Here is a 12,088-nt window from a genome sequence, read left to right as displayed (position 1 = left end):
GGCTGCCTTATTTTCTGGACACCCTAGCAGAGAATTACGTTGGCTTGGAGGCAGTGGAGGCCCTGGATATGGTTTGGATTTGTGTCCCTGCCCGAATCTCAGGTCAAGTTGTAATCCCGTGTTGGAGGTGGGGCCTGGTGGGAGATGAATGGATCATGGGGGCAGATTTCCCCTTTGGTGCTGTTCTTGTGATAGAGTCCTCACAAGATCTGGTTGTTTAAAATTGTGTGGCACCTCCTCCCTCACTCTCTTCCTCCTGCTCCAGGCACGATAAGACGTGCCTGCCCCGCTTTGCCTTCCACTGTGATTGTAAGTTTCCTGAAGCCTCCCCAGCCATGCTTCCCATATAGCCTGCAGAACCGTGAACCAATTAAAACTCTTTTTAAAAAATAAATTACCCAGCTTCAGATATATTTTTATAGCAGTGCGGGAACGGGCTAATACATCCCATTACTGGATGTGTCTGGTGGAACTGGGTGGGCATCTTGCAGGGATGTGGAAGGGGATTCCTTCATTATTAAAGCACGGAACTAAGGCATTGACCATGTTTCTTCCTTCTGTAAAGCGGAAGTATCCTCTAAATATGGTCTTTTCTATGAATGAGTGTAGCTGATTCCTAAAGCTTCAGTTTTCTATAACTCTACATTGTTTATTCATGAATCACTTAAGAGGCTTTGGGTTTTTTTTAATTTTTAAATTTTTTAAATGGAAACTACAGAAAAATTTAAACATTTGCGAAAGCCAACAGACTAGTATAATAAACACCTATGTTTCTATCACCCAGCTTCAACAATTACCAACTCATGGACAATCTGTTTCATGTGTGTCTCCACCCATGTTCCTTCTCATCGTTACCTCGAAGCGGATAACATATCGAACATTTTCTGATTGGTAATTGGTTGAAATGGTTAAGTTATTATCTAAAGAGTAGATTTTGCCTACAAATATTTCAGCATGCATTTCTACAAGACAGAGGTTCTTTTTAAAACATAATGATAATACAATCATCACATCACAAAATATACTTTAATATAACCAAATAGTTCAGTCATTTTTCATATATCTCCAAGTATCCTTTTTTCTAATAAGTTAGTTGAAATCAGGATCCAGAAGGGAAGTGAGGAGGGGTATACCCTGCCATTGGTTGCTCTGCAGATTCTCTCTTTTTTTACTCAAGAGCTACTGATGTCCCTCAAAGCGCTGTTCTTTGCTGGCTTTCCTGTGCAGTGGAAGCACGTCTGCTTCTCTCCATTGGCTTGGGCAGGGACTTGCCATTATACCACAGAAAACATTAGAGTCTCAGCCTTTAGTCCGTTCTTTTTTTTTGAGACAAAGTCTCTCTCTATCGCCCAGGCCGGAGTGCAGTGGCACAATCCCAGCTCACTGCAACCTCTGCCTCTGGGGTTCAAGCAATTCTCCTGCTTCAGCTGCCTGAGGAGCTGGGATTACAGGCACGCACCACCATGCCCGGCTAATTTTTTCATTTTTAGTAGAGATGGGGTTTTGCCATGTTGGCCAGGCTGGTCTCGAAATCCTGACCTCAGATGATCTGCCCGCCTCAGCCTCCCAAAGTGCTGGGATTACAGGTGTGAGCCACCACGCCCGGCTTCACCTTTAGTCCATTCTAAGTGAAGATGCTAGTTCTCCTACATAGAACATGGAGAGTGACTTTCCACTCAGGATGAGGCATTGAAGAAAATAGCAAAAGATAAGATGAGGTCAGATGAGAGAGAAAGTATGATGAAGATGCTGAAGTACTTGAGAGATCGACAAAATCATCCCATATGTCTTCCATTCTTAATTTGGTTGTATCTTATCATATCTTCCAAACCCTATAAAAATGATCAACCCAATTCAACTGAATTTGTAGAAGCATATCCATGGTCCCTAGCGACTTGAAGTCACTATACAGAATCAGTAAATCATAGAATGTTAAAATTGGAAGGAGGGCTTGAGATGAGCTTCTGTTAGCCCCCACCATTTTGCAGATGAAGGTGCCAAAAGAATGCCACAAGACTAGAAAGCATTATGGATACTTTATTTCTGAATTAGACTAATAAATTTAAAAAGACATAGGCTAATCATCTTATCTCCTATACCAGGAACAACTCTGGGCACTGCCATTCAAGAGGGAATTCCTAAATTTGCTTAAGTTCACAGTGTAACCATCAGCAAACATAGACAGTCCTGAATAGTAGTTTGATTTCTTCCAGTAAGAAGCCCCATGTGCAGTATATCTATGACAATCATATTAGTGCTTGGAATTAGGTATTTGAATCAGAGTTACCAATTGTCCTGATTTTCCTGAGACTGTTGTTTTTAGCACTGAAAATAATGTGTCCCAGGAACTTCTCAGTGCTAGACAAACAGGATGGTTTGTCACCCTACATTTGACTCAGTTCTGATGGCAATGCAATAAAATTTCAATTGACCAAAATATTTTCTATACCTTGCTTACCAAAAAAGGCAAATCATAGGAAAGTATATTAACATCAGAGCTAGCCTGGCACAGTGATATGACCTGTAGTCCCAGCTACTTGGGAGGGTGAGATGGGAGGATTGAGATGGGAGGATTGCTTGAGCCCTGGGGTTCTGATAAATAAATAAATAAATATATATATATATATATATATATATATATATATATATATATATATACTTAAGAAAATAAATATCACACACACCACAATGCTTCTTTGCTATTTTGGGATCAGAACATATTTACCTCAATCTCTTATACTTACATATTTATATTTAGTGATTTTCAGAATATCAGGTGTGACTCATCAAAAGTTCAATTACATTTGTGACAGAGGAGTTACTAAGATTGGAAAATGAAGGAGTATAGTGTTACAATATTTTCTATAACAAGACATAATGAATTTTGTGGCATGAGCATTGGTCTTGGAGTCTGAAGACTTCTAATGACTCTTTTTTTTTTTTTTGAGACGGAGTCTCGCTCTGTCGCCCAGGCTGGAGTGCCGTGGCGCTATCTGGGCTCACTGTAAGCTCCGCCTCCCGGGTTCACACCATTCTCCAGCCTCAGCCTCTGGAGTAGCTGGGACTCCAGGCGCCCGCCACCACGCCCAGCTAATTTTTTGTAGTTTTAGTAGAGACAGGGTTTCACCGTGTTAGACAGGATGGTCTCGATCTCCTGACCTCGTGATCCACCTGCCTCGGCCTCCCAAAGTGCTGGGATTACAGGCGTGAGCCCCCGCGCCCGGCCTCTAATGACTCTTAACTCTGCATATAGGGTGTGACTTTTGCAAGTTATTTTTCGAAGCATTCTTGAGGATTAGTTTCCTTGTCTATTAAATGAAAATGTTATCACCAACCTCATAGAGCGAGTATGACAATCATATCAAAGAGTATTTGTGCAGGTGTCTGACACATCATAGGGCTTTGGTGTTAAAAAGAACAAGAGGGGTAAAAACCAAGTGTTACCTTAAGAAATACATTGGCCAGAAACCCCATTTCCTGTGCATTTGGTTTAGTTGACGTTTTCATACCTTTGTTGAATAAGAGAGGGTGAAAAAAAAAAATCCCACCCCAGCAGTCATTACTGAGTGTTGTCTAGCATGTATACCTTATGGGAGGATGATTTAAAGTCATTGTCGTGATTCCTTGTCTCTTTCTGAACTGTGGCCTATATACAATTATGTCAGGAGACACAGCTCTTTCTGTTCACAGGTATTTTTCCAGCAGATCCCACACTCCATTTACCCAGATGCTCTGGTTGGGTCTTAGTCTGTGTGGAGCGAAGAGGAGTCTTGTTCTGAGGAACATTTGCCCTCAGTTTGGCCGGGGAGACCATATATGCCAGCAGCTGCTTATTTCATAGGTGAAAGAATAGCCTGTGTTTATAAACGATCTAATATTTGCTAAGCCTCTCCCAGCTTCACCTTGTTTAAGAGTCCTGGTGGCTCCCTTAGAACTTCCTTCAATGATTACGTGGTTCAAGTAGAAAAGAAAAAAAAAAGGAGCAGCAAAATATACAAAATCAAGCTGCCACAAGGTACAAGCAGGTTTGCTGTGAAAAAAACAGTGGAAGGGGAGCAGTGGAATAGGGTGAAGAGCATCAGTATCAGACAGCTGAGTCTGAAAGCCAGGCTTGCTAGTGTGATATCAGGCAAGTTATTCTGTTCTATCAGCCTTGGTTTCTTCTGCTGTTAAAAGGAGATAACATCTGTTTCGTTAGGTTAAGTGAGACAGAAAACAAATAAGTCTGACAAATGATAGGAACTCAATAAATAGCAGCTATGACTATCTAGAATGATTGTTGTTGTGTTTGACGTTCACACGTTTTTGCTAGTGCAGCAGAACTGTTTTGCTCATTCTGTGTCCCCTATGATCAGTGCCCAGTAACATTCGGAAGCTAAGCAACCACCTCTATATAACCTATGAATCAAAGAAAAAAATCACAAAGGAAGTGAGAAAACATTTTTACCGAGCAATAACAAAAACAGTATGTCAACATTCATGTGATATAGATAAAAGTAGTGCTTAGGAAGAAATTGTAACTTGAAATACTTATATTGGAGAAGAAGAAAGGCTTAAAGTCAGTGCTCTAATCTTATACCTTAAGAAGTTTGAAAAGAGAATAAGAAACCCAAAGAAAACAAAAGGAAGGAAATTGTAAAGGAAAATAAAAAGAACCAAAGATAAATGAAATAGAAAAGAGAGGAATAGTAGAGTTCCAGTTTAATTCCATGGTGATCAGAAGTGCACCCTCTATGATTAGCATCATGTAAAATTTGTTGATACTTGCTTTATGACCCAGACAATGGTCTATCTTGTTAAATATTCCATGAGCATTTGAAAAGAATATCGTCTGCATTGCTAGATGTTGTGTTCTTCCAAGTCGGGTCTATGTTCTTACTAATTTTTGGCTGCTTGTTCTATGAATTACTGAGAGAGGAATACTAGAATCTCAAACTTTGTGGATTTATCTGTTTTTCTTTTAGTTCTACCCATTTTTGCTTTGTGTCTTTGGGGCAATGTTATTGTACGCTTAGACATTTAGGATTCTTATGTCTTCCTGATAAAAAGGCCCTTTTATATTTATGAATAACTTATCTCTGCCGATACTCCTTGTCATAAATACTACTTTGAAAAATATTCACATAGCCACATTGGCTTTCTTATGACTAGTGATAGCATGGTGTATGTTTTACTACCCTTTTCTTTCAATCTAACTCTCTCCTCATACACAAAAGTGTATCTTTTGTAAGCAGTGTATTTACTCCGTCTCTACTTGCCTTTTTAAAAATTTATTTATTTATTATTATACTTTAAGTTTTGGGATACATGTGCAGAATGAGCGGGTTTGTTCCATAGGTATACATGTGCCATGGTGGTTTGCTGCACCCATCAACCCATCATCTACACTAGGTATTTGTCCTAATTCTCTCCCTCCCCTCGCCCCCCCTACCCGACCCCCGACCCACTGACAGGTCCTGGTGTGTGATGTTCCCCTCCCTGTGTCCATGTGTTCTCATTGTTCACTTCCCATTTATGAGTGAGAACATGTGGTGTTTGGTTTTCTGTTCCTGTGTTAGTTTGCTAAGAATGATGGTTTCCAGCTTCATCCATGTCCCTGCAAAGAACATGAACTCGTTCTTTTTTTATGGCTGCATAGTATTCTATGGTGTATATGAACCACATTTTTTTTATCCAGTCTATCATTGATGGGCATTTGGGTTGGTTCTAGGTCTTTACTATTGTAAACAGTGCTGCAATAAACATACTTGTGCATGTGTCTTTATAGTAGAATGATTTATAATCCTTTGGGTATATACCCGGTAATGGGATTGCTGGGTCAAATGGTATTTCTGGATCTAGATTCTTGAGGAGTTGCCACACTGTCTTCCACAATGGTTGAACAAATTTACACTCCTACCAACAGTGTAAAAGCGTTCCTATTTCTCCACATCCTCTCTAGCATCTGTTGTTTCCTGATTTCTTAATGATCACAATTCTAACTTGTGTGAGATGGTATCTCATTGTGGTTTTGATTTGCATTTATCTAATGACCAGCAATGATGAGCTTTTTTTCATATGTTTGTTGGCCACATAAATGTCTTCTTTTGAGAAGTGTCTGTTCATATCCTTCACCCACTTTTTGATGAGGTTGTTTTTTTCTGGTAAATTTGTTTAAGTTCCTTGTAGATTCTGGATATTAGCCCTTTGTCAGATGGATAGATTGCAAAAATGTTCTACCATTCTGTGGGTTGCATGTTCACTCTGATGATAGTTTCTTTGCTGTGCCAAAGCTGTTTAGTTTAGTTAGATTCCATTTGTCAATTTTGGCTTTTGTGGCAATTGCTTTTGGTATTTTAGTCATGAAGTCTTTGCCACGCCTATGTCCTGAATGGTATTGCCTAAGTTTTCTTCTAGGGTTTTTATGGTTTTAGGTCTTATGTTTAAGCCTTTAATCCATCTTGAGTTAATTTTTGTATAAGTTGTAAGGAAGGGGTCCAGTTTCAGTTTTCTGCATATGGCTAGCTAGTTTTCCCAACACCATTTATTAAATAGGGAATCCTTTCCCCATTGCTTTGTTTTTGTCAGGTTCATCAAAGATCAGATGGTTGTAGATGTGTGGCGTTATTTCTGAGGCCTCTGTTCTGTTCCATTGGTCTATATATTTGTTTTGGTACTAGTACCATGCTGTTTTGGTTACTGTAGCCTTGTAATATAGTTTGAAGTCAGGTAGCATGATGCCTTCAGCTTTGTTTTGGCTAGGATTGTCTTAGCTATACGGGCTCTTTTTTTGGTTCCATAGGAAATTTAAAGTAGTTTTTTCTAATTCTGTGAAGAAAGTCAATGGCAGCTTGATGGGAATAGCAGTAAATCTATAAATTACTTTGGGCAGTATGGCCATTTTCATGATATTGATTCTTCCTATCCATGAGCATGGAATGTTTTTCCATTTGTTTGGGTCCTCTCTTATTTCCTTGAGCAGTGATTTGTAGTTCTCCTTGAAGAAGTCCTTCACATCCCTTGTAAGTTGTATTTCTAGGTACTTTATTCTCTTTGTAGCAGTTGTGAATGGGAATTCACTCATGATTTGGCTCTCTGTCTATTGTTGGTGAATAGAAATGCTTATGATTTTTGCACATTGATTTTGTATCCTGAGACTTTGCTGAAGTTGCTTATCAGCTTAAGGAGTTTTTGGGCTGAGACTATGGAGTTTTCTAAATATACAATCATGTCATCTGCAAACAGAGACAATTTGATGTCCTCTCTTCCGATTTGAATACCCTTTATTTCATTCTCTTGCCTCATTGCCCTGGCCAGAACTTCCAATACTATGTTGAATAGGAGTGGTGAGAGAGGGCATCCTTGTCTTGTGCCAGTTTTCAAAGGGAATGCTTCCAGCTTTGCCCATTCAGTATGATATTGGCTGTGGGTTTGTCATAAATAGCTCTTATTATTTTGAGATATGTTCCATCAATACCTACTTTATGGAGTGTTTTTAGCATAAAGGTGTTGAATTTTATCGAAGGGCTTTTCTGCATCTATTGAGATAATCATGTGGTTTTTGTCTTTGGTTCTGTTTATGTGATGGATTACATTTATTGATTTGCATATGTTGAGTGCATCCCAGGGATGAAGCCGACTTGATCGTGGTGGATAAGCTTTTTGATGTGATGCTGGATTCAGTTTGCCAGTGTTGTATTGAGGATTTTCGCATTGATGTTCATTAGGGATATTGGCCTGAAATTTTCTTTTTTTGTTGTGTCTCTGTCAGATTTTGGTATCAGGATGATGCTGGCCTCATAAAATGAGCTAGGGAGGAGTCCCTCTTTTTCTATTGTTTGGAATAGTTTCAGAAGAAATGGTACTAGCTCCTCTTTGTACCTCTGGTAGAATTTGGCTGTGTATCCATCTGGTCCTGGGCTTTTTTTGGTTGGTAGGCTATTAACTACTGCCTCAATTTCAGAGCTTGTTATTGGTCTATTCAGGGATTTGACTTCTTCCTGGTTTAGTCTTGGGAGGGTGTTTGTGTGCAGGAATTTATCCGTTTCTTCTAGATTTTCTAGTTTATTTGCATAGAGGTGTTTATAGTATTCTCTGATGGTAGTTTGTTTTTCTGTGGGATCAGTGGTGATACCCCCTTTATCACTTTTTATTGTGTCTATTTGTTTCTTCTCTCTTTTCTTCTTCATTAGTCTGGCTAGCAATCTATCTATTTTGTTAATCTTTTCACAAAACCAGCTCCTGGATTCATTGATTTTTTGAAGGGTTCTTCAGGTCTCTATCTCCTTCAGTTCTGCTCTGATCTTAGTTATTTCTTGTCTTCTGCTAACTTTTGAATGTGTTTGCTCTTGCTTCTTTAGTTCTTTTAATTGTGATGTTAGGGTGTTGATTTTAGATCTTTCCTGCTTTCTCATGTGGGCATTTAGTGCTACAAATTTCCCTCTAAATCCTGCTTTAGCTGTGTCCCAGAGATTCTGGTACATTGTGTCTTTGTTCTCAGTGGTTTCAAAGAACTTATTTCTTTCTGCCTTAATTTCGTTATTTACCCACTAGTCATTCAGGAGCAGTTTGTTCAGATTCCATGTAGTTGTGCAGTTTTGAGTGAGTTTCTTAATCCTGAGTTCTAATTTGATTGCACTGTGGTGTGAGAGACTGTTTGTTATGATTCCCATTCTTTTACATTTGCTGAGGAATGTTTTACTTCCAATTATGTGGTCAGTTTTAGAATAAGTGCTATGTGGTGCTGAGAAGAATGTATATTCTGTTGATTTGGGGTGGAGAGTTCTGTAGATGTCTGTTAGGTCTGCTTGGTCCAGAGCTGAGTTCAAGTCCTGAATATCCTTGTTAATTTTCTGAATCCATCTAATATTGACTGTGGGGTGTTAAAGTCTCCCAGTATTATTGCGTGGGAGTCTAAGTCTCTTTGTAGGTGTCTAAGAACTTGCTTTATGAATCTGGGTGCACCTGTATTGGGTGCATATATATTTAGGATACTTAGCTTTTCTTGTTGCATTGATCCCTTTACCATTATGTAATTCCCTTCTTTGTCTTTTTTGATCTGTGTTGTTTAAAGTCTGTTTTATCAGAGACTAGGATTGCAACCCCTGTCTTTTTTTTCTTTCCATTTGTGTGGTAAATATTCCTCTATCCCTTTATTTTGAGCCTGTGTGTGTCTTTGCACATGAGATGGGTCTCCTGAATACAGCACACCAATGGGTCTTGGCTCTTTATCCAATTTGCCAGTCTGTGTCTTTTAATTGGGGCATTTAGCCCATTTACACTTAAGGTTAATATTGTTATGTGTGAACTTGATCCTGTCATTCTGATGCTAACTGATTATTTTGCACATTAGTTGATGCAGTTTCTTCATAGTGTTGATGGTCTTTACATTTTGGTATGTTTTTGCCGTGGCTATTTGCCTTTTAAATGGAGCGTTATAGGCCATTTCCAATTAATGTGATTATTAAGATGGTTGGGTTTTAATCTGCCAATCTGTGACTTGTTCCTTTATTTCTCCTTTCCTGCCTTCTTTTGAATTATTCAAATATTTTCAGTATTCTGTTTATCTCCTTTATTGAGTTTTTAGCAGTTATTTCCTGATGTCACAGTATGTGTTTTTGAATTAGCACAATCTACCTGGGATTAATTTCATACCACTTTATATACAATATAAATAGTATAGTTTAATTTCACCCAATACTAGTTTCAATAGTACTTTTTTTGGGGGGGGTGGTGGTTTTGTTTTTGTTTTGGTTTTGAGCCCAGTCTATCTCTTGTGCTCAAGCAATCCTCCCAGAACAGCCTACTGAGGAGCTGAGACTACGGGCACACACCACCAGGCCTGGCTAATTTTTTTAAATTTTAGTAGAGATAGTATCTTGTTGTTGCTCAGGCCGGCCTTGAACTCCTGAGCCCAAGCGATCCTCCTGCCTTGGCCTCCTAAGGTGCTGGGATTACAGGTGTGAGCCACTGCACCTGGCTAATAGTAAGTAAAAGTAATTTTACTTACTGCATTCCGTTCTTCATGCTATTGTTGTGACATATTTATTTTATAATAATACTGTGTTATTTTTACTTTGATTAGTTAGTAGTCCTCAGAGAAATAAAAAACACAGTTGATAATACTTATTCACATATTTAACGTTTACATAACATTTACATAACTCTCTATTTCTTCTTGCAGATTCAAGTTGCTATGTTGGGCTGGGCATGGTGGCTCACGCCTGTAATCCCTGCACTTTGGGGATTGAGGTGGGTGGATCGCCTGAGGTCAGGAGATTGAGACCAGCCTAACCAACATGGTGAAACCTGTCTCTGCTAAAAATACAAAAATTAGCCGGGTGTGGTGGTGGGCACCTGTAATCCCAGCTACTCAGGAGGCTGAGGTAGGAGAATCACTTGAACCCTGGAGGCAGAGGTTGCAGTGAGCCAAGAGAATGCCACTACACTCCAGCCTGGGTGACAAAGTGAGACTCCGTCTCAAAAAAAAAAAAAAAAATCAAGTTATCATGTTGGATTATTTCCCTTCAGATTCATTCATTTGCCTGCCTATTCTCAGAATAGGCAAGCACCACTTTATGTAAAAGTCTGCTCTAGTATTTGCTCTCTATGGAAGGTCTTAAGTCTCTCTGGAATTTGTTCATTTATATTTCTTTGTCTTCAGAGTTCTCTCATATTTAAGGAAAAATATGAGCTTTTAACTTCACCAGTGTTTTGTTTGTTTTTGGTAGGAGTGAAAGTCTTCCTAAACATCAGCTGAACCTATATTTCTTCAAGTATATATCTAATGACAATACATTCTCTCACCTCTATTGTCTGGAAATGTCCTTATTTCACTTTCATTTTTAAAATGAATTTTCAGCAAGATAACCTGGGTCAGTATGGGGCTGTGAGAATCGATTAACCCAATGATGCTTAACTGAGATTAGCTTCTTATGTTTTCCTGCAGGTTTTGCTTAGACCTTCTGCCTCATTCACATATACACACTTTTGTAGGGTAAAGCCCACCTTTTACCCAAAATTGAAGGTTTACTATAGGCCAACTACTTATCATGTACTATATCTCTTTTAATCTCTGTGACAAGCACATAAGACTTAATAGAAGTGGAGAAAAGAAAGAAAGAATAATAGTGCTTATACAGTATTACCAAGTGCCAGGCGTTGTCCTGAGCATTTTACATGTTTGTACATATATGCATACACACACACACACACACACACACACACACACACACACACACACACACACATTTAATCTTCACATCAACCTCATAGGTAGATACTATTTTATTATTTCAGATTTACAAACGAAGAGTCTGAGAAACTACAGGGGTTAAGTAACTACCCCTCAACCCCCAAAAAGCACACACAATATATAAATAGAATTCAGAATTCAAATCTAGTCAAGTTGGTTCCAGAATCTGTGCTTTTAACCATCTCATTACTGGTAATATGATTCTCATTTTACAGAGAAGAGCACCGGATTTTAGAAGAGTTAGGTGAACTCCTCTGTGTGTCACTGCTAGTAAGTGGCAATACTAGCGTTTGAACCAGGCCCCAAAGACCTTGCTCTTTCCTCTGTACCGTGCTTCTTCCCAAAGGAGAGAAAAAAAATGTTTTCACTTTTAGAATTCTACTTTCGAAAGATTCTGTGAGAATTTCGTGAGGACTTGAGAGGGGACCAAACAGCTTCCTTTTGGTCTTAGTGACAATGATGTCTTCTCAAGCATATTGTCTATTGGCCTATTTATAGCCAGGCACTGCCAGGGGGTTGCTTTTCCCACTGACGTGTTAATTCTAAACACCTCTCTCATTACTCCCTCTCAGACTGCTCTAGAGCCTCATAGCTGAGCGTGTTACTGTACTGATAGCTCTGTGAATGTTTGCTTTGGGAGCGGAAGGATGGCAGAGCTCAACCTCAAGGTCCTCCGCCTACATTGGGAATATGTGATGCTCACCTGACACGTGCATATTTCCTTTGGGCTTGAACACGTGTTCCTTTGGTGTTTCATGCATTTGCCAGCCAGAAAGGGAGTCCTCCAGTGGGTCTGAGAAACAAAGTATCTATTTTGTTAAGATTACCAGGCTTAGACTGGGAGAGGGAGTTGGT

At 39.2% G+C, this 12,088-nt stretch overlaps 1 protein-coding gene across 5 annotated transcripts in view; it reads left to right on the top strand.

Moving 5' to 3' along the window:
- The window catches only part of MCF2L2 (MCF.2 cell line derived transforming sequence-like 2), a 250,579-nt gene that overhangs the window by 74,771 nt on the left and 163,720 nt on the right, over positions 1-12,088 (top strand). The gene's annotated exons all lie outside the window — the stretch shown is intronic.

The sequence above is a fragment of the Homo sapiens genome, chromosome 3 (assembly GCF_000001405.40).
Source record: "Homo sapiens chromosome 3, GRCh38.p14 Primary Assembly".
Lineage (NCBI taxonomy): Eukaryota > Metazoa > Chordata > Mammalia > Primates > Hominidae > Homo > Homo sapiens.
Note: the sequence above shows the minus strand (reverse complement) of the source record. Positions and strands in the feature narration are given on the sequence as shown.